This window comes from Homo sapiens, chromosome 4 (genome assembly GCF_000001405.40).
Source record: "Homo sapiens chromosome 4, GRCh38.p14 Primary Assembly".
NCBI classification, from domain to species: Eukaryota; Metazoa; Chordata; class Mammalia; order Primates; family Hominidae; genus Homo; species Homo sapiens.
In genome coordinates this window covers 177,992,692-178,020,576 of record NC_000004.12, presented here as the reverse complement: position 1 = coordinate 178,020,576, position 27,885 = coordinate 177,992,692, and the positions used below count along the sequence as shown (strand labels likewise).

The following is a 27,885-nucleotide window of genomic DNA, read 5'->3' as shown; positions in this document are numbered from 1 at the left end:
CATGATTTATAGTCCTTTGGGTATATACCCAGTAATGGGATGGCTGGGTCAAATGGTATTTCCAGTTCTAGATCCCTGAGGAGTTGCCACAATGACTTCCACAATGGTTGAACTAGTTTACAGTCCCACCAACAGTGTAAAAGTATTCCTATTTCTCCACGTCCTCTCCAGCACCTGTTGTTTCCTGACTTTTTAATGATTGCCATTCTAACTGGTGTGAGATGGTATCTCATTGTGGTTTTGATTTGCATTTCTCTGATGGCCAGTGATGATGAGCATTTTTTCATGTGTTTTTTGGCTGCATAAATGTCTTCTTTTGAGAAGTGTCTGTTCATGTCCTTCGCCCACTTTTTGATGGGGTTGTTTGTTTTTTCCTTGTACATTTGTTTGAGTTCATTGTAGATTCTGGATATTAGCCCTTTGTCAGATGAGTAGGTTGTGAAAATTTTCTCCCATTTTGTAGGTTGCCTGTTCACTCTGATGGTAGTTTCTTTTGCTGTGCAGAAGCTCTTTAGTTTAATGAGATCCCATTTGTCAATTTTGGCTTTTGTTGCCATTGCTTTTGGTGTTTTAGACATGAAGTCCTTGCCCATGCCTATGTCCTGAATGGTAATGCCTAGGTTTTCTTCTAAGGTTTTTATGGTTTTAGGTCTAACATTTAAGTCTTTAATCCATCTTGAATTGATTTTTGTATAAGGTGTGAGGAAGGGATCCAGTTTCAGCTTTCTACATATGGCTAGCCAGTTTTCCCAGCACCATTTATTAAATAGGGAATCCTTTCCCCATTGCTTGTTTTTCTCAGGTTTGTCAAAGATCAGATAGTTGTAGATATGTGGCATTATTTCTGAGGGCTCTGTTCTGTTCCATTGATCTATATCTCTGTTTTGGTACCAGTACCATGCTGTTTTGGTTACTGTAGCCTTGTAGTATAGTTTGAAGTCAGGTAGTGTGATGCCTCCAGCTTTGTTCTTTTGGCTTAGGATTGACTTGGCGATGCAGGCTCTTTTTTGGTTCCATATGAACTTTAAAGTAGTCTTTTCCAATTCTGTGAAGAAAGTCATTGGTAGCTTGATGGGGATGGCATTGAATCTATAAATTACTTTGGGCAGTATGGCCATTTTCACGATATTGATTCTTCCTACCCATGAGCATGGAATGTTCTTCCATTGGTTTGTATCCTCTTTTATTTCCTTGAGCAGTGGTTTGTAGTTCTCCTTGAAGAGGTCCTTCACATCCCTTGTAATTGGATTCCTAGGTATTTTATTCTCTTTGAAGCAATTGTGAATGGGAGTTCACTCATGATTTGGCTCTCTGTTTGTCTGTTATTGGTGTATAAGAATGCTTGTGATTTTTGTACATTGATTTTGTATCCTGAGACTTTGCTGAAGTTGCTTATCAGCTTAAGGAGATTTTGGGCTGAGACAATGGGGTTTTCTAGATATACAGTCATGTCGTCTGCAAACAGGGACAATTTGACTTCCTCTTTTCCTAATTGAGTACCCTTTATTTCCTTCTCCTGCCTAATTGCCCTGGCCAGAACTTCCAACAGTATGTTGAATAGGAGTGGTGAGAGAGGGCATCCTTGTCTTGTGCCAGTTTTCAAAGGGAATGCTTCCAGTTTTTGCCCATTCAGTATGATATTGGCTGTGGGTTTGTCATAGATAGCTCTTATTATTTTGAAATACATCCCATCAATACCTAATTGATTGAGAGTTTTTAGCATGAAGGGTTGTTGAATTTTGTCAAAGGCTTTTTCTGCATCTATTGAGATAATCATGTGGTTTTTGTCTTTGGCTCTGTTTATATGCTGGATTACATTTATTGATTTGCGTATATTGAACCAGCCTTGCATCCCAGGGATGAAGCCACTTGATCATGGTGGATAACCTTTTTGAAGTGCTGCTGGATTCGGTTTGCCAGTATTTTACTGAGGATTTTTGCATCAATGTTCATCAAGGATATTGGTCTAAAATTCTCTTTTTTGGTTGTGTCTCTGCCTGGCTTTGGTATCAGTACGATGCTGGCCTCATAAAATGACTTAGGGAGGATTCCCTCTTTTTCTATTGATTGGAATAGTTTCAGAAGGAATGGTATCAGTTCCTCCTTGTACCTCTGGTAGAATTCGGCTGTGAATCCATCTGGTCCTGCACTCTTTTTGATTGGTAAGCTATTGATTATTGCCACAATTTCAGATCCTGTTATTGGTCTATTCAGAGATTCAACTTCTTCCTGGTTTAGTCTTGGGAGAGTGTATGTGTCCAGGAATTTATCCATTTCTTCTAGATTTTCTAGTTTATTTGCGTAGAGGTGTTTGTAGTATTCCCTGATGGTAGTTTGTATTTCTGTGGGATCGGTGGTGATATCCCCTTTATCATTTTTTATTGCGTCTATTTGATTCTTCTCTCTTTTTTTCTTTATTAGTCTTGCTAGCGGTCTATCAATTCTGTTGATCCTTTCAAAAAACCAGCTCCTGGATTCATTAATTTTTTGAAGGGTTTTTTGTGTCTCTATTTCCTTCAGTTCTGCTCTGATTTTAGTTATTTCTTGCCTTCTGCTAGCTTTTGAATGTGTTTGCTCTTGCTTTTCTAGTTCTTTTAATTGTGATGTTAGGGTGTCAATTCTGGATCTTTCCTGCTTTCTCTTGTGGGCATTTAGTGCTATAAATTTCCCTCTACACACTGCTTTGAATGCGTTCCAGAGATTCTGGTATGTTGTGTCTTTGTTCTCGTTGGTTTCAAAGAACATCTTTATTTCTGCCTTCGTTTCGTTATGTACCCAGTAGTCATTCAGGAGCAGGTTGTTCAGTTTCCATGTAGTTGAGTGGTTTTGAGTGAGATTCTTAATCCTGAGTTCTAGTTTGATTGCACTGTGGTCTGAGAGATAGTTTGTTATAATTTCTGTTCTTTTACATTTGCTGAGGAGAGCTTTACTTCCCAGTGTGTGGTCAATTTTGGAATAGGTGTGGTGTGGTGCTGAAAAAAATGTATATTCTGTTGATTTGGGGTGGAGAGTTCTGTAGATGTCTATTAGGTCCGCTTGGTGCAGATCTGAGTTCAATTCCTGGGTATCCTTGTTGACTTTCTGTCTTGTTGATCTGTCTAATGTTGACAGTGGGGTGTTAAAGTGTCCCATTATTAATGTGTGGGAGTCTAAGTCTCTTTGTAGGTCACTCAGGACTTGCTTTATGAATCTTGGTGCTCCTGTATGGGGTGCATATATATTTAGGATAGTTAGCTCTTCTTGTTGAATTGATCCCTTTACCATTATGTAATGGCCTTCTTTGTCTCTTTTGAACTTGGTTGGTTTAAAGTCTGTTTTATCAGAGACTAGGATTGCAACCCCTGCCTTTTGTTGTTTTCCATTGGCTTGGTAGATCTTCCTCCATCCTTTTATTTTGAGCCTATGTGTGTCTCTGCCTGTGAGATGGGTTTCCTGAATACAGCACACTGATGGGTCTTGACTCTTTATCCAATTTGCCAGTCTGTGTCTTTTAATTGGAGCATTTAGTCCATTTACATTTAAAGTTAATATTGTTATGTGTGAATTTGATCCTGTCATTATGATGTTAGCTGGTGATTTTGCTCGTTAGTTGATGCAGTTTCTTCCTAGTCTCGATGGTCTTTACATTTTGGCATGATTTTGCAGCAGCTGGTACCGGTTGTTCCTTTCCATGTTTAGTGCTTCCTTCAGGAGCTCTTGTAAGGCAGGCCTGGTGGTGACAAAATTTCTCAGCATTTGCTTGTCTGTAAAGTATTTTATTTCTCCTTCACTTATGAAGCTTAGTTTGGCTGGATATGAAATTCTGGGTTGAAAATTCTTTTCTTTAAGAATGTTGAATATTGGCCCCCACTCTCTTCTGGCTTGTAGGGTTTCTGCCAAGAGATCTGCTGTTAGTCTGATGGGCTTCCCTTTGAGGGTAACCCGACATTTCTCCCGGCTGCCCTTAACATTTTTTCCTTCATTTCAACTTTGGTGAATCTGACAATTATGTGTCTTGGAGTTGCTCTTCTTGAGGAGTATCTTTGTGGCATTCTCTGTATTTCCTGAATCTGAACGTTGGCCTGCCTTGCTAGATTGGGGAAGTTCTCCTGGATAATATCCTGCAGAGTGTTTTCCAACTTGGTTCCATTCTCCCCATCACTTTCAGGTACACCAATCAGACGTAGATTTGGTCTTTTCACATAGTCCCATATTTCTTGGAGGCTTTGCTCATTTATTTTTATTCTTTTTTCTCTAGACTTCCCTTCTCGCTTCATTTCATTCATTTCATCTTCCATCGCTGATACCCTTTCTTCCAGTTGATCGCATGGGCTCCTGAGGCTTCTGCATTCTTCACGTAGTTCTCCAGCCTTGGTTTTCAGCTCCATCAGCTCCTTTAAGCACTTCTCTGTATTGGTTATTCTAGTTATACATTCTTCTAAATTTTTTTCAAAGTTTTCAACTTCTTTGCCTTTGGTTTGAATGTCCTCCCGTATCTCAGAGTAATTTGATAGTCTGAAGCCTTCTTCTCTCAGCTCCTCAAAGTCATTCTCCATCCAGCTTTGTTCCGTTGCTGGTGAGGAGCTGCATTCCTTTGGAGGAGGAGAGGCGCTCTGCTTTTTAGAGTTTCCAGTTTTTCTGTTCTGTTTTTTCCCCATCTTTCTGGTTTTATCTACTTTTGGTCTTTGATGATGGTGATGTACAGATGGGTTTTTGGTGTGGATGTCCTTTCTGTTTGTTAGTTTTCCTTCTAACAGAGAGGACCCTCAGCTGCAGGTCTGTTGGAATACCCTGCCGTGTGAGGTGTCAGTGTGCCCCTGCTGGGGGGTGCCTCCCAGTTAGGCTGCTTGGTGGTCAGGGGTCAGGGCCCCACTTGAGGAGGTAGTCTGCCCGTTCTCATATCTCCAGCTGCTGCGTGCTGGGAGAACCACTGCTCTCTTCAAAGCTGTCAGACAGGGACATTTAAGTCTGCAGAGGTTACTGCTGTCTTTTTGTTTGTCTGTGCCCTGCCCCCAGAGGTGGAGCCTACAGAGGCAGGCAGGCCTCCTTCAGCTGTGGTGGGCTCCACCCAGTTCGAGCTTCCCGGCTGCTTTGTTTACCTAATCAAGTCTGGGCAATGGCGGGCGCCCCTCCCCTAGCCTCGCTGCTGCCTTGCAGTTTGATCTCAGACTGCTGTGCTAGCAATCAGCAAGACTCTGTGGGCGTAGGACCCTCCGAGCCAGGTGCGGGATATAATTTCGTGGTGCGCCGTTTTTTAAGCCCGTCGGAAAAGCGCAGTATTCGGGTGGGAGTGACCCGATTTTCCAGGTGCCATCCGTCACCCCCTTCTTTGACTCAGAAAGGGAACTCCCTGACCCCTTGCGCTTCCGGGGTGAGGCAATGCCTCTCCCTGCTTCGGCTCGCGCACGGTGCGCGCACCCACTGACCTGCGCCCACTGTCTGGCACTCCCTAGTGAGATGAACCCGGTACCTCAGATGGAAATGCAGAAATCACCGTCTTCTGCATCGCTCACGCTGGGAGCTGTAGACCGGAGCTGTTCCTATTCGGCCATCTTGGCTCCTCCCCCCAAAAATTTCTATTCTTAAAAAAATGCATTCTTTTTAACAATTTTACTAATTGCCAAGCAATTTGGAGAATGTGCCAATTTATTATTAGATTGTTTGCCCTAAAATGACTAGCAATCACTATTGAATTAAAGTGTTTTAAAACTTAATTTTATATCTATAACTTGGTTTCTATGAATATTTAACATCTTAATTTGATTCAGATATCAGAAGCTGGTCTATGCAGCCAAAAAACAGTTTTCATTTAATTTATAGTTATGTTTTATATATATATATATATATATATATATATGCACACACACACAACTATATAGTTATCTATGTATATGATTACAAGAGGCAATAATGAATACTGGAAAGGGAGTTAAATTTGTAAATATATGTAAATATCGACTACTCAAAACAACAGTAGTGTTTTGTGGAGTTTTGAATGTATTGAGAGAGGAAATTATGCAGACAGCAAAAGCACCTGAAGGAGCAATGTGTTCTGAAGTTCCCATGTAGATTTACTGCAGAAATATTTGTATTACACTGAAAAATGTAAGAATATGTAATGTAATCCGTAACATAATTAAATTATTAAAAATGAAAGAATATCACATTATTAAATGGAATTATGGAACAATTAAAAGTATTTATTAATTTAAAAGAAGACAACATAGGAGGGAAGGTAGGATCTTAAAATAAGTGAGTCAAATGGAAAACATGTAATAAAATTATAGGTAAAACTCAGCAATTTCAGTTATATGGAATATGTGGTAAATTCTCAAAATTAGGCACTAATATTGTAGAGCTGGATTTTATTCTAAACCTAAATCTATCAAAAGTTTTGTTGCAAAGATAAAAGATACAAAAGGGTTGAAAGAAAATCTTGGAAAATGATATGCCATGGAAAGACTAAATAAATGTGACTTAAAAGCAGTTAACATTACTAGCTAAAAGAAAAAAATTTTGTAATAATTAATTATAACTATTTTGTAATCTCAAACTTCTATATATTTAGTAACATAGCTATTACCTATATATTGCAAAAATTAATCAAATTGATGGGAAAAAGTAACCTTCAATATTAAAAAATACTTTAACACCTCCTCCAGTAGCTGATAGAAGGAAGGGAAAAGTGAACAAGGAATCATTTTCTTTTATTTTTCATTTATATATGAGAGTTGTACTTATTTTGAAGGTATGTGTGATATTTTGATACGTATATGCAATGTGGAATAATGAAGTCAGGGCAATTGAGTTATCTACCACCTCAAACATTTATCTTTTCTTTCTGTTGGAAACATTACAATTATTCTTTTCTAGCTATTTTGAGATATATAATAAATTATTGTTAACTATAATTTCTCTGCTGTACTATTGGATACCAGAACTTATTCTTTTTATCTAACTGTATGTTTGACCCTTGATTACCTTCTTCTCATCCTCCTTCCTTTCCCTTCTCAGCCTCTTTAATTAAAATATAATTTAAAATATTTTTATTCCTATAGAAAGAATCTGGCATCAAAAAACAACAAAAAATATATTTTTTTCTCGGTTGCCATGAAACATTTGCCAAATTTTATAGCTAAGTCAAAGGAAATCCTCAAAATGTTTAAAATATTAAAATGTTTTTATTTCTCTAAGAAATGATAACTGGAAAATTCCTAAGTGTGAAAACATCAAACCACATATCTTAGAAAATCCTAGAATTCAAAAGAGAAACAATGGAAATTAGAAAATATTTAGCTGAATACTAAACATATAAATTCTTGCAGGGTATAATTAAAGCATAGTTGGAATAAAATGTACTGGCTTAGATGAATATATCAAAAGAATATGAGTAACAAAAGATTTGAAATGTTTTCTAATTCAAATTAGAGGAAAAAAGCAAATTAAACTTATTATGTAAAAAGATGTAATAAAGATATGGGTAGAAATCTAAAAAATAAAAAATGTATAATAGAAAAGTTAGACAAAGCCAAAAGTTGATTTTTTGAAAAGATTGATAAACTTGATAAACACCTCATATCACTTATTAATTTAAAAAAAAGAAAACAAAAATAACTATATGCCAACATTTAAAAGGGGACATTACAACACTATTAATATTATCATCATAATAAATGTATGTCAATATATTTGAAAATTAGGATAAACATGCTAAAGCTGACAGAATAATAAAAGATTTGCATATTTCATCTATTGAAGAAATTTGAATGCATTATTAAACACCATCGCAAAAGGAAAATAACTAGTTTATATGACTCCATCTACAAATTTCTTGAAACACTCAAGGAATAACATCAGTTGTATACAAAGTCTTGAAGACAAGATAAAAAAAAGAAAATATTTACCAAATATTTTAATAAAGCTAGCATAATCTTGGCGTTAAAATAAATTTTAAGATAATAAAAAAATGAAATTTCCAAAATAATTTCTGGAAATAAATGTCTAGAAGTATCTCTCTTGTAAAAATAGATGGAAAAAAGAACATAAATAAATCTATAATTATGTACAAGATAATCTACCCCAGCTATTTGTAGGAAGATTGGTCATTTAGTATTTGATGTATTAATGTATTAATGCTTTAATATATTCTGCCACAATAACAAAAAAGGAGAAATCAATGTGACTATGTCAAAAGACGGAGAAAAATACTTGTCTTCAATAGATACAGAAAAGACATCTGATAAAATTTGTCAGTCATTTATATTTTGAAATTCTTAGTATCTATGTCTAATAAAAACATGTGTAAAATCTCCACTAAATACCATATTCCCATGGTGAATTTTAAGGCCTTGCCTCTAGAATTTGGGAAAAGACAGGGATATTTAAAATCATGCCTTTCTATTCAACATTACACTTGTCATTCTAGCCAAAACGAAATGGAGAATAAATATTTTAAATGTGGATACAATTTGGAAAGGAATGAAAAAAGGCACTATCTGACATAAACACAGAAAATATAAAAGAATCTATACAGCGTGACATAAAAAACTGCAATCACATACAAAATAAAGAGCAATGAACATATGAAAAGATTATTAAATGTATTTTTTATCTGGGTGATACAAATTCATTCCATGAATTATTACAATTATTAAAATTATAACTATAATAATTGTAATAATTATATATTATTGTAAATAATCATAATAACTATATATATAGAGAGAGAGATGTCAGTGTTGAAATCAACAAACTAACTCAAATGCATATGGAAATACATATGACCAAAAACAAACAAGATTGTATTGTGGAAAAAGTACATCACTGGAAGACTTAGGATCTATTATAATGCTAGTTTAATTACATTTATTATCTGAAAATTATGTTAAGTGATCAGAAAAACAGTCCTGAAATACTTCTACACAAACAGAGTCACCTGGTTTATGGCAACAGTGACATTGCAGTTTAGAGGGGAAACATGGACTTTCAACTAACGGTGATAATTCAATGGAATGTCCTAAAGTAATGCCTACTTGATATTGTGCACAAAATTCTATTCTAAATGCATTAAAGTTTTTCTTGCCTTTTAAATTTGAAATCAAACAAATGACAAAACTTAGAGGAGCATTCTTGTGATGTTAGAGTAGGCAAAGATATCTTGAAGAGGACCCAAAAGCATTAATCCTTCAACAATATATTGATGAATTACATTATATTAAAATTAAGAATTTCTATTTTTCAAAAGGCAGCTTTAAGAGAATGAAAAAGGAACCTGCAAATAGACAATCTGAATAGGCATGTCCACTTAAAAAATTGAATCAATAATGAATAACCTTCCAAAACAGAAAGCCTCAGGCCCACATGTGTTCACTAGTGAATTCTACCATGCATTTAAGAAAAAAATTATACAAATTCTCTATAATCTCCTCTAGAAGACAAAATTAGAGGGAGTAGTTTCTAATTAATTCTGTAAGACCAGAGTTAGCCTTATACAAAAATTAGGCAAGGAGATTATAAGAAAAGAAAACTACAAAACAATATCTTTCATGAACGTGGATGCAAAAATCCTCAGAAAAAAGTTAACACATTGAGATGAATAATTTATGAAAGAATTATACACCAGAACTAAGCGGACTTCATCCCACGTAGGTAAGATTGGTTCAAAATTCAAAATTAAACTAATATAATCCATCACATCAATAAACATACAAAGAAAAATCACATGATTACATCAATAGATGGAGAAAAGTCATTTGACAAAACAATACTTAATCCTGATTTTTTAAAGAAATGCAACTGTCAGCAAATTAAAGTACTGGGGAACCTCTTCAATTTGATAAAGAGTATCTACAAAAAAACCTACAGCTAACATCAGACTTCGTTTTTTAAAAATAAGTTTTTCCACTTAGATCAGGTAAAAGACAAGACTGTCCCCTCACATCATTCCTTTCCAACATCATACTGAAAGTGCTAGGCAGTAAGACATGAAAAGGAAATTAAAATATAGAGGTTGAGAAGGAAAAAATAAAACTGTCTTTGTTTGCAGATGACATGACTGTCTATGTAGAAGATCTAAATGAACTGACAAAAAAAACTGGAGTAAGAATTTATAGCAAGGTTGCAAGATACAAAGTTATTATTACAAAAGTCAATTGCTTTCGTGACTTACTACATCAATAATGAACAACTGAAATTCGAAATTAAAAACACAATGCCATTTACACTAACACCCAAAAAGATGAAATACTTAAGCATAAATCTAACAAAATATGTACAATATTTATGTGAGGAAAAACTATAAAACACTGGTGAAAGAAATCAGAAAAGAACTCAATAAATGGAGAAATTTTATGTTCAGGGATAAGAATATTCAATATTGCTAAGATGTCAGTTCTTCTCAATTTTACTATAGATTCAGTGTAATCCCAATCAAAATCTCAACAGAAATTATTTTGTGGCTATTAAAAAACTAATTCTAAAGTTCATATGGAGAGTAAAAAGACCCCCAAATAGCCAACACAATATTGATGGAAAAGAATAAAGTTAGAGGACTGACCCCACCCAACTTCAAACCTACTATAAAGCTACAGTAATCAAGACTATGTGATATTGGTGAAAGAATACACAAACAGATGAATGGAACAGGTGAAAAGACCCACTCAAATGAAGTCAACCGACTTTTGACAAAGAAGCAAAAGCAGTTCAATGGAGAAAAGAAATCTTTTCAACAAATAGTGCTGGACCAACCAAACATCCACATGCAAAACAATATGAATCTAGACATAGTTCTTACATCCTTCCCCTAAACCAAGCCAAAATAATCTACATGTAAAATGTAAAACTATAAATCTTCTAGAAGATAATATAGGAGAAAATCTAGATAACTTTGGATATGGTGATGACTTCATATTTAACACCAAAGGTATGATCTATAAATAAAAGAATTGATGAGCTGGACTTCATGAAAATTAAAAATTTTTGGCAAGAGAATGAGACTACAAGCCACAGACTCGAAGAAAATATTTGCTAAAGACATATTTGATAAAGGACTGTTAACTGTAATACAAAAATAAGTCTTAAAACCCAGCAATAAGGAAACAACCCAATTAAAAATGGGCAATAGGCCCAAACAAACACTTTACCAAAGAAAATACACAAATGGCATGTAAGCCTGTGAAAAGGTGCTTGATATCAGGTCTTGGACAATTGCAAATTAAAATAACAATGAGATACCACTACACACCTATTAAAATGGTGAAAATCCAAAACACTGACACCACAAAATGATAGTGAGGATGTGAAACAACAGAACTCATTCACTGCTAGTGGTCATGCAAAATAGTAAAGCCACTTTGGAAGTTTGATAGTTTCTTACGAAACTAGACATACGCTTACCATAGGATCCAGCAATTACACTCCTTGGTGATTATCCAGAGGAATTGAAATTTATGTCTTCACAAAAACCTGAAAAGGGATGCTTATAGCAGCATTTTTTTAAAGAATTCAACTTTTATTTTAGTTACAGGGGGTACATGTGCAGGTTTGTTACAAGGGTATATTATACCCATGTAGTGAGTATAATATACCCAGTAGGTAGTTTTTCAACCCACATCCCCTTCCCTCCCTCCCCACTCTATTAGTCCACAGTACCTATTGTTCACATGTTTTTGTCCGTGTGAGCTGAATGTTTAGCTCCTGTGTTTAAGTGAGAACATGCAGTATTTCATTTTCTGTTCCTTCATTAGTTTGCTTAGGATTATGGCCTCCAGCTTTATCCACGTTGCTGCAAAGAACATTTTATTCTTTTTTACGACTGCATAGTATTGCACGTTGTATATATACTACATTTCCTTTATCCAGGCCACCGTTGATGGGCACCTAGGTTGATTCCATGTCTTCGCTACTGTGAATAGCATGGTAATGAACATACAAGTGCATTTTTTAAAATATAATGATCTGTTTTCCTTTGGGTATATACCCAGTAATAGGATTGCTGGGTCAAATGGTAGCTCTGTTTGAAGTTCTTTGAGAAAATCCAAACTGCTTTCCATAGTAGCTGGACTAACTTACATTCCCATCAACATCGTGTACACTTTCTCTTTTCTCTGCAGCCTTGCCAGCATCTGTTGTCTTTTGACTTTTTAATAAAAGCAACTCTGACTGGTGTATGATGGTATCTCATTGTGGTTTTAATTTGCATTTCTCAGATGATTAGTGATTTCATATGTTTGTTAGCCACATGTATGTCTTATTTTGAAAAGTGTCTATACATGTCCTTTGCCCATTTTTTAATGGGATTATTTGTTTTTTGTTTGTTGATTTGTTTACTGTCCTATTCTGGATATTAGATTTTTATCTAATGTATAGTTTGCTAATATTTTCTCTCATTCTGTAGGTTCTCTGTTTACTCTGTTGATAGTTTATTTTGCTGTGCAGAAGCTCTTTAGTTTAATTCTCAATTGTCAATTTTTATTTTTGTTGTGATTGCTTTTGGGGACTTAATCATAAATTCTTTCTCAAGGCTGATGTCAAGAAGGATATTTCCTAGGTTTCCTTCTGGGATTTTTGTACTTTGAGGTCTTACTTTAAATCTTTCATCCATTGTGAGTCAATTTTTGGCTATGGTAAAACCTAGCGATCTAGTTTTTTGGGTTTTTTTTTTTTTTTTTTTTTTTGAGACAAAGTCTCACCCTGTCTCCCAGGCTGGAGTGCAATGGCATGATCTCGGCTCACTGCAACCTCCGCCTCCTGGGTTCAAATGATTCTCCTGCCTCAGCCTCCTGAGTAGTTGGGATTACAGGTGCCCACCACCATGCCTAGTTAATTTTTGTATTTTTAGTAGTGACGGGGTTTCACCAAGTTGGCCAGGCTGGTCTCGAACTCCTGACCTAGTGATCTGCCCACCTCGGCCTCCCAAAGTGCTGGTATTACAGGCGTGAGCCACCATGCCTGGCCAGTGATCTAGTTTTATTATTCTGCATATAGCTAGCCAGCTAGCCCAGCACCATTTATTGAATAGGGAGTCCTTTCCCCATTGCTGATTTTTGTCGACTTTATCATAGATTAGATAGCTGTAGATATGTGGCTTTATTCTGGTTTCTGTCTTCTGTTTCTTTGTTCTAGGTGTCTGTTTTTATACCGGTACCATGCTGTTTTGCTTACTGTATCCTTGTAATATAATATGGAGTTGGATAGTATGATGTCTCCAGCTTTGCTCTTTTTGCTTAGGACTGCTTTGCTATTCAGGCACTTTTTTGGCTCCACATAAGTTTTAGAATAGTTTTTGTTTTTTTTTTTTTTAATTCTGTGAAGAATGACATTTGTAGTTTCATAGGAATAACATTGAATATGTAAATTGCTATAGGTAGTATGGCCATTTTAATGACATTAGTTCTTTCAATACATGAGCATGGAATGTTTTTCCATTTATTTTTGTCATCTCTGATTTCTTTTCAGTAGTGTCTTGTAGTTCTCCTTGTAGAGATCTTTCACTTCTTTAGTTAGCTGTATTAACAGGTATATCATTTTCTTTGTGGGTATTGTAAATGGGATTGTATTCTTGAATTGACTCAGCCTGGAAGTTACTGGTGTAGAGAAATGCTATTGATTTTTGTAATTTGCTTTTGTGTCCTGAAATCTTGCTAAAATCATTTATTGGTTCCAGTAGCCTATGGGCAGAGACTTAAAGGTTTTCAAACTACAGAATTATATCATCAGTTAAGAGAGATAGATTGACTTCTTTTTCCCATTTGAATGCCTTTTATTTCTTTTTCTTGCCTGATTGCTCTGGCTTAGACATAAAGTACTATATTGAACAGGAGAAGTGAGAGTGGGCATCCTTGTCTTATTATAGCTCTTAGGGAGAATGTTTCCAGCTTTCGCCGGTTCAGTATGATATTGGCTGTAGGTTTGTCATAGGTGGCTCTTATTATTTTGAGGTATGTCCTTCTGATGCCTATTCTATCGAGGATCTTTTTTTTTTTTTATCAAGAAGGGTTGTTGGATTTTATTGAAAGCTTTTCCTGCATCCATTGAGATGATTATGGTTTTTTTACTTTAATTCTGTTTATGTGGTGAATCACATTTGTTGACTGGTATATGTTGAACCAACCTTGTATTCCAGGAGTAAAACCTACCTGATCATGGGGAATTAATTTCTCGGTGTGTTACTGGATTCAATTTGCCAATAATTTGCTAAGAATTTTTGCATCTATGTTCATCAAGGATATTGGCATGAAGTTTTGTTGTTGTTGTTGTTGTGTCTCTGCCAGATTTTGGTATCAGGATGAGGCTGAATTTTAGAATGAGTTAGGGAGGAGCCCCTCCTCCTTGATTTTTTTGGAATAGTTATAATAGTATTGTTTCCAGCTCTTCTTTGTATGACTCATAGAAATTGGCTGCATCCATGTAGTCTAGGACTTTTTTTGGTTGGTAGTTTTTAAATTACTGATTCAATATCAGAGCTTGCCATTTGTGTAGACAGGATTTTGTTTTCTTCCTGGTCCAATTTTGGGAGATTGTAGTTTCCAGAAGTTGATCCATTTCCTCTAGATTTTCTAATTTGTATGTATAGCGTGTTCTTAATAGTCTCTAAGGATCTTTTGTGTTTCTGTGGGATCAGTTATAATGTCATCTTTGTTATCTCTGATTGCACTTAAGCTTATTTGGATCTTCTCATTTTTCTTTGTTAATCTAACTAGTGCTCTATCAACTTTGTTTATTCTTTGGAAGAAACAGCTCTTGGTTTCACTGATCTCTTGTATGGACTTTTGCATCTCAAGTTCATTCAGTTCTTTTCTGATTTTAGTTATTGCTTTTCTTCTGCTAGCTTAGGGGTTGGTTTGCTTTTTTTGTTCTAGTTCCTGTTGGTGTGTTCCCACCCAAATCACATGTTAAATTGTGATCTCAAGTATTGGAGTTGGGTGGAAGGTGATTGGATCATAGGGTCGAATTTCTCCCTTGCTGTTCTCATGATAGTGAGTGAGTTCTCATGAGATCTGCTTGTTTAAAAGTGTGTAGAACCTCCCCCTTTGTTCGCTCTCTCCTGCCACCATGCGAAGATTTGCTTGCTTCCCCTTTGACCTTCCACCATGATTATGTTTCCTGAGGCCTCCCAGCCATGCTTCTTGTATAGCCTGCAGAACTGTGAATCAACTAAACCTCTTTTCTTTAAAAATTTTTAAGGATAGTTCTTTATAGCAATGTGAGAACAAACTAATGCAGTGTGATGTTAGATCATTAATTGGAGATCTTTCTAACTTCTTGATAACGGTGTTTAACACTATGATCTTTTAACATTGCTTTAACTGCATCACAAAGATTTTGGTAAATTTTGTCTCTATTTTCATTAGTTTCAAATAATGTTTTTGATTGTTGCCTTAATTTCATTGTTTACCCATGAGTTATTTAGAAGCAAGTTGTTCAGTTTTCATTGGCTTTGATTTTATTTTTATTGCACTGTAGTCTGAACATACTCTTGGTATGATTTTGAGTTTTTTGAACTTATTGAAAGTTGCTTTATGGCCAAGCATGTAGTCAATCTTAGAATACGTTCTGCGTGTGAGTGAGAAGAATGTTTATTCCATGGTTGTCGGGTGGAGTATTCTGTAGATGTCTCTTAGGTCCAGTTGGTCAAGAAGCTGCTTTATTCATAATTGCCAAAACTTGAAAGCAACCAAGATGCCCTTTAGTAGGTGAATGGATAAAGAAACTAGATACAACAGCAGACAATGGAATATTATTCAGTACAAAAAAGAAATTTAAGCTGTCAATCCATGAACAGACATGAAGAAACCTTAAATGCATATTATAAAGTGAAAGAAACCAATGTGAAATGGCATATTTTATGATTCCAACTAAATAATATTCTGAAAAAAACAAAACTATGGAGACAGTAAATATCAGTGTTTTCCATATCTTGTGGGGAGGGAAGGATAAATGAAAGGAGCACAGAGGATTTTTAGTGCAGTGTCACTGCTCTGGGGTCTATAATCATGTATGCATGTCATTATACATTTGTTAAAACTCGTAGCATATAGAACACTAACAGTAAACTTGAATATAAGCTATGGACTTTGGATGATGACACGTCAATGCACGTTTATCAATTATAAAAAATGTAAAACTCTAGTGCAGGATGTCAGTAGTGGGGGGTTGTGTTTATGTACAAGGAATATATGGAAATTACCTGTACTCTCCATTCAGTTTTGCAGTGAATGCAAAACTACTCTAAAAAACAGATTATTTTTAAAAACTCAACCTACCAAATGAAACCAGATAGCCAGAGTACAAATATCTAATAAGAGTTTATAAGAGAAAGATGTGATAGTAACTTCCCTAATGAATAATTCTAATGACTAAAAACACATGAAATAGGCTGCTCAACTATATCATCTTACACATTTTTTAAAACTCTAAAAACATAGGCTATTTTGTTTTGAGTAAATGTTTCAAAGGAGCACATCTTACCGGAGGCTTTGAAAATGTAAGATTCAGGGATAGGGTAAGAAGCAGAGATAAAGGGGGTTTTTACACAGTATTTTATAAGTTAAAAAAAGGTGAAATCTTTTAAGCTGTAACATGAAAAACTTCACTCAAATACAAAGTTCAAAATACATTGGTAGAGTCTAACACAACAACATGGTCAGCAGTCAAAGATGCATAAATCATTAAAAAATAGTCCCTAGATTTTTTAAAAACACAGAAGAAATGAAACTAAATTTTAATAATAAACCTGAACAGTGCACAACAGTTAATTAGAAACATTATGTCAAAATAGACTATTCTGTTGGAATTATTATTTATTAGAAATGCAAATTCTTATTATAAGCCAATACCATTACATTATTTATTGGAAAATGCAAATTCATGTTATAAGCCAATACCATTATAACCCAACCAGAATGTCTAAAATAGAAAGATGTAGAAAATAATGTTGGTGGGAAAGAGAAGCAATCCACACTCTCATCTATTGATAAAAGGAATAAAAATTTTTAACATCACTGTGGTAACTGTGAGAGCACTTTCTCAAGCTGAGAATATTAATATCCTCTAATCCAGCAATTCTATTCATTGGTGTATGTCAACAAGAGTACGTTTATATGAGAACCGAAAGACATGTCCTGGAATTTTTATAGAAGCATCATTTGTAACACTTAAAACCTAGACATAATCCAAAGGTCCATTAACACTATAATGGACATAAAATTTATGGTATAATTGTGAATTTGATCATCATCTTGGAAATGACTCATCTTTGTTAGAAATGAGATCAGTGATGACCAATAGTAGAAAAGGATGCTGATGACAAGCGTCCTTTTCTGGTAATATTTCCTGACCTGGGAGCTTATTGAATGTGCAGAGTTGGTTAAAATTTACTGAATTGCATGCGCACGTGCACACACACACACACACACATGATTTGTGCACAATTTTGTAGGTATTCCACACTTAAAATTTCACTAAGGGAAACACTATCTTCTTAGTATTTTAAGTTTGGATAGGCAAGGAATTGGCAAAAATTGATTATATAAGTTTTAGGAATCACATAGTATAGTCTACACTATTTTATTTAGGTATAATAACTAATCAAAAATGAATTTAAATTATAGACTAGCTTATCCATGCCATTGGTAGAATGTAACACAACATGGTCAGCAGTCAAAGATGCATAAATCATTAAAAAATAGTCCTCAGATTTTTTAAAAACACAGAATAAATGAAACTAAATTTTAGTAATAAACCTGAACAGTGCACAACAGTTAATTACAAACATTATGTCCAAATATACTATTCTATTGGTAACTTTCTTGAAATGTAGCAAGCTTCCTCTCGATTTAAAAATAAACTAAAGGTTGCAACACTCTGTAACTCATATTATTCTTTCCAGTGGGACATATTAAAGAATAGTCAATAGAATAGGTTTCTCTTCAGATTTACACTTTTAAAAAAATAAACATTTATCTCTAACAAACTATATATCTTGCTTTTCTTAATTTTAAAAGAATTAATAAGTAGAGAAATATCTGAATTAACATTGTATAATAGTGTGTTTTTTAAATATGAGGATTTTTCTGGAACCTGTCTTTTAAATTGAATTTTGATATAATTTTTCTTGGGATGAAAAATGGGTAGGCTTCTCTTTTCATTGAGATATCATGGCTCTTTGTAAAAATTGATCCCTTAAATTATACACAGTGAATCATTTGTCCAATTTTTATTTTGAAAAATAATAGAGACATGAAGTAAAATTATAGAATAGTAGAAAAACTCTAAACAACTCACCTGGATTCACAAGTGATTTAAAAATAATTTACACATTTGTTTGTCTTTCTCTCTGTACAATTTTTTTGTCTAAAAGTAGGAAAGTAACTGCAGATATCCTAATACTTCACACCTAAATTTTAATACACTTATGTCCCAATTACAAATACATTGCTCTCAGAACTACAGTAATAGTAAAAACCACATGCTTTATTTCATTTAAAGTATCAACTATACAGTCCATATCCAAGTTTCCCATTGTTTCTAAAAATGTCTTCTGCAGGTTTTTATTTCCCAATCTGGGTTCCAATTAAGGGTCATACAACTAATTACAATATCTCATAAATCTCTTTTAATCTCAAAATCTACTGAGGCTTTTTTTTTAATGTCCAAGAACTTGACATGTTATTAATATTTTTTACAGTCCAAATTAGTTGTAAGGTTCACAGTTGTACTTTACCACACAATGTGTATATTTCTGAGTTTTTCTTCTAACAATTAGACTCAGGGTAAAGATTTTGAGCAAGAATACTCTATAGGTGTGTAGCACTATTCCTATCACATCACATTAGGTAATAAGCAATGTCTGTTATTTATCATTATTGATGATACTAAATTAGTGAATGAACCTATTTTCTCTAAGCAATCTGTAGAAGATACTCTGAGATTGTGTGACTATCCTTTTTCTCAGTGTGTTTTCTCTCAGAGGATGCTGCCTGAATCTAATATTGCATTGTTGATTTGCTATTTCTGTTTACCTCTCTACATTCCTTAGCTGGTATTCCTTCAAGAGAACGTTCTTTTTCTCTTCCTATTTTTGTGAGTGCTATTATAGATTCATGAATTATTTTTCTAATTAAATGGGTAATAATTCAACACTGTTATGTTTTTTACCCTCCAAGTGTCCCAAATGTGGCCAATGAGAATTCCTTCCAGTTGGTTGCTGTGCTTTACCATAACTTCTCTAATGTATTAGCACTCTTGCCTCGGTTCAACTTATAATTTCCCTACACTAGTCCAGAGGCCCCCATTTCTCTAAGAAACAATGGTTAGTTATAGTGGGGAATATTATTTATAAGACTAAACTTGAGTAATAGGTGTGCTCATTGCTACTGCAGAATTCTGTTTTCTGCTAAAAATATGAATCATACTTATATCTCTATTTCAAAACAAGGTAAAGGACATATTCTTATTTTCTCTCATTCCATACGTTTTCTGGCTTTCTTTCAGAGTGAGAACTTTAGCTACCAACAATGAGAACATGTTTACTCATTTGTCTTTTCTTTTTTTTATTTTATTATTATTATACTTTAAGTTTTAGGGTACATGTGCACAATGTGCAGGTTAGTTACATATGTATACATGTGCCATGCTGGTGTGCTGCACCCATTAACTTGTCATTTAGCATTAGGTATATCTCCTAAAGCTATCCCTCCCCCCTCCTCCCACCCCACAACAGTCCCCAGAGTGTGATGTTCCCCTTCCTGTGTCCATGTGTTCTCATTGTTCAATTCCCACCTATGAGTGAGAATATGCGGTGTTTGGTTTTTTGTTCTTGCAATAGTTTACTGAGAATGATGATTTCCAATTTCATCCATGTCCCTGCAAAGTACATGAACTCATCATTTTTTATGGCTGCATAGTATTCCATGGTGTATATGTGCCACATTTTCTTAATCCAGTCTATCATTGTTGGACATTTGGGTTGGTTCCAAGTCTTTGCTATTGTGAATAATGCCGCAATAAACATACGTGTGCATGTGTCTTTATAGCAGCATGATTTATAATCCTTTGGGTATATACCCAGTAATGGGATGGCTGGGTCAAATGGTATTTCTAGTTCTAGATCCCTGAGGAATCACCACACTGACTTCCACAATGGTTGAACTAGTTTACAGTCCCACCAACAGTGTAAAACTGTTCCTATTTCTCCACATCCTCTCTAGCACCTGTTGTTTCCTCACTGTTTAATGATCACCATTCTAACTGGTGTGAGGTGGTATCTCATTGTGGTTTTGATTTGCATTTCTCTGATGGCCAGTGATGATGAGCATTTTTTCATGTGTTTTTTGGCTGCATAAATGTCTTCTTTTGAGAAGTGTCTGTTCATGTCCTTCGCCCACTTTTTGATGGGGTTGTTTGTTTTTTTCTTGTAAATTTGTTTGAGTTCATTGTAGATTCTGGATATTAGCCCTTTGTCAGATGAGTAGGTTGTGAAAATTTTCTCCCATTTTGTAGGTTGCCTGTTCACTCTGATGGTAGTTTCTTTTGCTGTGCAGAAGCTCTTTAGTTGAATTAGATCCCATTTGTCAATTTTGGCTTTTGTTGCCATTGCTTTTGGTGTTTTAGACATGAAGTCCTTGCCCATGCCTATGTCCTGAATGGTAATGCCTAGGTTTTCTTCTAGGGTTTTTATGGTTTTAGGTCTAACGTTTAAGTCTTTAATCCATCTTGAATTAATTTTTGTATAAGGTGTGAGGAAGGGATCCAGTTTCAGCTTTCTACATATGGCTAGACAGTTTTCCCAGCACCATTTATTAAATAGGGAATCCTTTCCCCATTGCTTGTTTTTGTCAGGTTTGTCAAAGATCAGATAGTTGTAGATATGCGGTGTTATTTCTGAGGGCTCTGTTCTGTTCCATTGATCTATATCTCTGTTTTGGTACCAGTACCATGCTATTTTGGTTACTGGAGCCCTGTAGTAGAGTTTGAAGACAGGTAGCGTGATGCCTCCAGCTTTGTTCTTTTGGCTTAGGATTGACTTGGCGATGCGGGATCTTTTTTGGTTCCATATGAACTTTAAAGTAGTTTTTTCCAATTATGTGAAGAAAGTCATTGGTATCTTGATGGGGATGGCATTGAATCTATAAATTACCTTGGGCAGTATGGCCATTTTCATGATATTGATTCTTCCTACCCATGAGCATGGAATTTTCTTCCATTTGTTTGTATCCTCTTTTATTTCATTGAGCAGTGGTTTGTAGTTCTCCTTGAAGAGGTCCTTCACGTCCCTTGTAAGTTGGATTCCTACGTATTTTATTCTCTTTGAAGCAATTGTGAATGGGAGTTCACTCATGATTTGGCTCTCTGTTTGTCTGTTATTGGGTATAAGAATGCTTGTGATTTTTGCACATTGATTTTGTATCCTGAGACTTTGCTGAAGTTGCTTATCAGCTTAAGGAGATTTTGGGCTGAGACAATGGGATTTTCTAGATATACAATCATGTCATCTGCAAACAGGGACAATTTGACTTCCTCTTTTCTTAATTGAATACCCTTTATTTCCTTCTCCTGCCTAATTGCCCTGGCCAGAACTTCCAACACTATGTTGAATAGGAGTGGTGAGAGAGGGCATCCCTGTCTTGTGCCAGTTTTCAAAGGGAATGCTTCCAGTTTTTGCCCATTCAGTATGATATTGGCTGTGGGTTTGTCATAGATAGCTCTTATTATTTTGAGATACGTCCCATCAATACCTAATTTATTGAGAGTTTTTAGCATGAAGGGTTGTTGAATTTTGTCAAAGGCCTTTTCTGCATCTATTGAGATAATCATGTGGTTTTTGTCTTTGGTTCTGTTTATATGCTGGATTACATTGATTGATTTGCATATGTTGAACCAGCCTTGTTACAGATATTTCTAAACTAAGGGAAACATTGCATCAAACACATATTTCCTTGGAGACTTTGCTTACTAAAGGTCTATATTTAGGTTACTGAATTCAAAGGTTTTATAAGTTAATTACTTGTGTGTAATTATATAAAATATTAATAACCAGTTGAGTTAAATTGTTTCTGCTATTTGATTTTAAGGTTTTCTTTTTCATTATTTGTGGTACAAGGTTTGTCTTGACTTACAAATATTTTCGTGGTTCAAAAGTTCTGTTTCTCTCTGATAATACTCCTTTATCTCAAGTTAGCTTTGTCTGATGGTGATAGTTACCTACCAGCTTTAGTGAAATTAGTATTTCCATGATAAATATTTTCGGTGATTTCCATTTAACCTGTTTATGCTTTATTTTTAAAGTGCTATGGGCTATATCAAAAACATGACGGTACACCAAAAACACAATTTTACTGTAACTTTCTGTCAATCTAATAATGCACAAACATTCCAGAACATTTTATATGTGGATCAAAAATACATCCATATGCAATTCACAAACTTTGTTTGTGAAGTAAAGACCTATCAGGGGGCAACTGATTCTCTTTATTTTACCATAATTCTTTCTTTTCACCCCTGTCCTTCATAATTTTGTGGAAAATTCTTTTATTTTACCATGGCTTTGCAAAAGGTGTTTTCTGCAGTAACCTATTTTTTCATAATTTGTGAAGAAATATAAATTTTTATAAAACTGCACTGGGAGCTTTGAAATGTCATTATATTTCACTATTAGAATATTGCCTATCTCTACTAAATTACATTGAAATCTTTAATTGCAATACAACTTCTCATTTTTATTTTCAAAATACCTTATTCTAATGCTCATGGGAGGAAAAGTATAGTGCTTGAGGTGATTTGAAAATGTGCTCATTTGAATTCAAACCCGAATGTTGTTGAGAGTCTGCAGAGCCATTCAACTTGTCACCAATTAATCAAAATTTAAATATAACATGCTACTTTTTCTACATTACAGACAATGAGCAACAACATCTTAAGTCTTCCTAGGGAATAGATATATCTGATTACTTGCAATACAATTTGAGCACAGTAAAACAATACTAAGATATCAATGTTTCCTACCTTTTAATCATTCAGATTTAACCCAACTGTAATAATAATAGAACAACTGCTAAAGAATGGGAAGAAGAAATAATAGTAAATATTTACAATAAAGAGAAAAGGAATGAATTTCTAAAATGAGAAAGACAAGCCAAATAAGCCACATGAGAAACAATAATCTTAATAGAAATAACACAATCTGTGCCTATTGTAGGTCAGTGACTGCGGGTGGTTAATAGTGTCACTTTGATTGGATTGAAGGACGCAAAGTATTAATCCTGAGTGTGTCTAAGGGGCTGTTGCCAAAGGATATTAACATTGGAGTCAGTGGGCTGGGGAAGGCAGACCCACCCTTAATCTGGTGGGCACAATCTAATCAGTTGCCAGTGAATTTAAAACAGACAGGAAAACATGAAAAGGCGAGACTGGCCTAGCCTCCTAGCCTTCATCTTTCTCCCATGTTGGATGCTTCCTGCCTTCAAACATTGGACTCCAAGTTCTTTAGTTTTAAGACTCACACTGGCTCTCCTTGCTCCTTAAGCTTGCATCACGGCCTTGCGATCCTGTAAGTTAATACTTAATAAACTCCCCTTTATATATATAAATCATACACACACACACACACACACACACACACACACATCCTATTAGTTCTGTCTCTCCAGGTAACCCTGACGAATACAGTGACTTAGGTGGCTTGTTTTTCTATGATACATGACTACCTGTACACATGGGCAGTGTGTCTAAACTTCTGTTTGGTTATTTGGTTCTGAATAGAAAGTAGATTAATCAACAGAAAAAGATCAGTAGCAGACTTCTTTCTATTGGTCTCCTAATTGCAATGCTGTGACTCTTTATTAAATTGTTTTTGTATCCCCACTTTATTATAATTTGGTAAAAGGCCCCAAACGGAAAGCAAGAGATGATTACACTCTAGACATTAGAAAGAGATACGCACCCTACACTAGAGAGATATAAGTTGTTGCTAAACACTTCTTCCAAGGCTTCTTAAAGGTAAAAAAAAAAACAAAAAAACAAACAAAAAAAAAACCAAAAAAAAAAAAACAGTTCTATGATGCACACTCTCGTCCTCCCAGTCTATATTTTAAAGACTAGAAATCTAGAGTTTGTGGAAATTAACACTGAATAAAATTGAAAAGAGTTGGATAGAGCAGTGAAGTTTTAGCCTAGTGCTCCTTGGGAGAATTGGGGATAAGGTGGCTTCTTCGGAAAAAAGAAGGTGATATTCAAAGGAAATGCTCAGAGATCTCTACAAAAGGAAAGACTTGCACCCAACTTTTTGGGCAGATGTGCACCAAGTTGCATAAACTTTTAGGTACAGCGTGGAACAGCAGTGGGAATGCTGTGAAAGGTGTTTTCAAAGAATGGAGCATTTTATTTTCCCCCAGGACATTGAAAGGGACATGTATGGACATAGAAACTAGTGCTGCTCCTTTCCTGTAGAATCCTGAGGGCAGAACAGTAGCCGGAAGAGGCAGAGGGCAGCAGTCAGACAGACTGAATCCCTTTTGTGGACATATGAAGGATGTGTGGGTCAAATGGACACTATGGAAGACAGACAAGATTGAGCTGTCCTAAAAATAACCAGCCAAGGGGGCAAACTTTTCAAGCAAGAAAATCTTAGTAATTAGGTTCTCTATGCAGGATTTGCAGGAGAGTCACAAGAGTTCAAATTAAAGAGAAAGAAATGAATCCTATGGGAGACATAGCATGTGAATGTCTGCCTCGAAAAGGTTATTGAAAGCAGAGTAATAATAGCCCCAGTTATAAAGCACTTTGTTTCTTTTCCTCCATTCCAATTTACCTGACATCCATCCTGAAGATTCTACCAGCATGACATGGAAGACATAGAAGAAAGAGTGAGGAAAAGACCACAACCCTTGTCCCTACTGCAGGCCCCTGAACTGAGGGGAGAGGAAAAATAATAATGTTGTATGATACTTAAGCTTTAAATTCCATATTGAGATTTTTCATTATTTAGCTTTGATATGTGTTTTAATTCTCAAAGTGAGACTTCTTTTGACTCAAAGTGGCTGGAAATCTGTGAGCTATGCATAATATTCCAAAAAGAAGCTGAGACAAGAGATCCTGAACAGCATATTGGAAGACAATAGTTTAAAAATTTTATTCCAGTTCCTCTTTGCATTCAACACATTCAAAATTTATGATAAACTAGTTTTAAAGCAAACAAAAATATACATGCTTGCCTTATTTTGTTTCATTGTAAAATCTAAATGTGCATGTTTACCAATCCTTATAAATTCAAGGTTTTCAAAATAACTGGTAGTTTCTACATACAAATTTTAAGTAAACATTTTTAATTGACAAATATATATATATATATATATATAGATAGATATATATATATAGGGCAACATTATTTTTGTAGAGTATACATTATGAAATGGCTAGTTAATATGCAGTACCTTACATAATTTTTTGTGGTGAAAACACTTAAAACCTACTCTCAGCAATTTTCCAGTATACAATACATTGTTATTAACTATAGCCACTATGCGGTACAATAGATTTCTTGAACTTATTCATCTCGTGTTCCTGAAATTTTGTACCCTTAAACCAACATCTCCCCCAGATCCCCACCTGCCATCCCCTGGTAGTTCACCATCCTACTCTCTGCTTCTGTGAGTTTCATTGTTTTTGTTCCCACATATGAGAACATGCTGTATTTGTCTTTCTGTGCCTGGATTATTTCACTTAATATAATGTCCTTCAAGTTCATTCATGTAGTCACAAGTGACAATTTTTTAAGGCAGAATAGTATTCCATTGTGTATGTATATCACATTTTTTTCTTTCTTTTCTTTTTTTTTTTTTTTTTTAAGGTGGAGTGGGTCTTTCTCTGTCATCCAGGCTGGAGTGCAGTGGTACCATCATGGTTCACTGCAGCCTCAACTTCCTAGTCTCAAGGGATCCTCCCGAGTCATATAACTGGTATTTTCTACATACAAATTTTAGAATTTGTATAGTAGTACTTGAAACTGTAGGTACATACCACCATGCTCAGCTAATTTTTACGGTTTTTTTGTATAGATGGGTTTTCACTGTGTTGCCTAGGCTGGTCTCGGACTCCTGGCCTCAAGCAATCTTGCAGCTTCAGTCTCCCAAAGTGCTTGGATCACAGGCATGAGTCACTGTACCCAGCCTGTATATCACATTTTCTTTATCCATTTATCCATTGGTGGATGCTTAGGTTGACTCCATAACTTAACTATTATGAATAATGCCACAGTGAACACAGCAGTGCAGATATGTCTTGGATATACTGATTGCCTTTTCTTTTAGATACATATCAAGCAGTGGGATTGCTGGATCATATTCAGGTTTTGTTATATAATTTTTTAAGGAATTTCCATACTGCTCCCATAATGGCTGAATTAATTTGCATTCCCACCAACAGTGTTCAAGGATTTCCTTTTCTGTACATCCTCACCAACACTTCTCTTTCATCTTTTGGAAAATGGCTATTCTAATAGACATGAGGTGATTCTCATTGTGGTTTCCATTTGCGTTTCCCTGATGATTAGTGATAATGAGCATTTTTAATATGTCTTTTGGCCACTGTATGTCTTCTTTTAAACAATCTTTATTCAGGTCCTTTGCTCATTTTTTTAAATGCATTATTTATTTTCTTGCTGTAATGCATTTGAGTTCCTGATATATTTTGAATATTAACCCCTTGTACAAATACACAATGTACACATATTTTATCCTATTTTGTAGGTTGCCTCTTTTCTTTATTGATTGTTTCTTTTGCTGTGCAAAATCTTTTCAGTTTGAAAAAATCCCATTTGTTTATTTTTGCTTTTGTAGCCTGACTTTTGGGGGTTAAATAAAAAAATTATTGCTCAGACACATATTGTTTAGGTTTCCCCTGTGTTTTCCTCTTGTAATTTCAGTTTCAGGTCTTTCATTTAAGTCTTTAATCCAATGATTTTTCAACAAAAATGCCAAGAACACACCATGGGGAAAAGAATCTCTCTTTAGTAGGTGGTCTTGAGAAAACTGAATATCCCCATGCAGAAGAGTGACATCAGACCCTTAACTCACTCCGTAGATTTTAAATCATCTCTTTATGACAACATAAAATTTTAGCTAAAAATTAGTGTGAATTTTATCTAAGCAAAGCAGGCTTTCTGCTTTAATTATCATTTATTTTGGTTTGTTATAAATAAATAAGACATGATTATATATGTAATTCAGAATAGACAATATAGGACTCCTAATATATTCTATGTTATTATTATACATTTTCTATCATATTTCATATCTATATATTATACATTAAATATATCCCACATTATATATTACTTGGCATATATTACCGATTATATAGAACATATTTTAAGGCTTTAATATTGTAAACATATAAAGTATATAAAATTACATTTTTATGTTTGTTATGGTTACCAACAAAAAAACGATGTTGGTGATATACACATGTATATATATGCATGCATATACACACATATATATACATATATATGAATGTAGAGAACTCTATCACAACTAAACATTTACAGAAATAGAAAATCATAAGAAAGAGCCAATTTGAGATGTTAAAAGAAATATCAAGACATGATTTCTAAAAAACATATCACACTATAAAAGAATGAGCAAAAATAAAATTAGAGGTATCATTTTTAAAATTTATCCAATCTTATTTTCTTTCTCTTCCTGAGAGATGTCATTGTTTCTTTGTATTTACTTGAATAAGTGTATGTTTTATTGTTGCTTAACAGTGCAGATTTGTTACATGTTTAGCCTAAATTCATAGACCTTATAAATTCATAGACCAGCTTAAATGCATTTAAGAATTTCTATTGTTTCACATACTTCAGTAATACCTATATCAAAGAGACAGCCACAGTAACAAAACATAGAAACT

The 27,885-nt window shown here is 34.7% G+C and overlaps 1 long non-coding RNA gene across 2 annotated transcripts in view, besides 1 other annotated feature; it reads left to right on the top strand.

The window, feature by feature from the left end:
* The window catches only part of LOC105377561 (uncharacterized), a 30,741-nt gene extending 18,021 nt beyond the window's left edge, over positions 1–12,720 (top strand). For both annotated transcript variants that reach the window (XR_939512.1, XR_002959839.1), the window contains exon 3: positions 12,681–12,720. This is a non-coding gene — a long non-coding RNA (uncharacterized LOC105377561). The remainder of the gene's footprint in view (positions 1–12,680) is intronic.
* Positions 4,606–5,170: an enhancer, noted in NCBI's record as "NANOG-H3K27ac-H3K4me1 hESC enhancer chr4:178936561-178937125 (GRCh37/hg19 assembly coordinates)". NCBI's record gives its function as "activates a minimal SCP1, AML or CMV promoter by ChIP-STARR-seq in primed H9 embryonic stem cells {active_cell/tissue: H9 hESC(primed)}" and the evidence as "EXISTENCE:reporter gene assay evidence [ECO:0000049][PMID:30033119]".
* Positions 12,721–27,885: the final 15,165 nt, after the last annotated feature.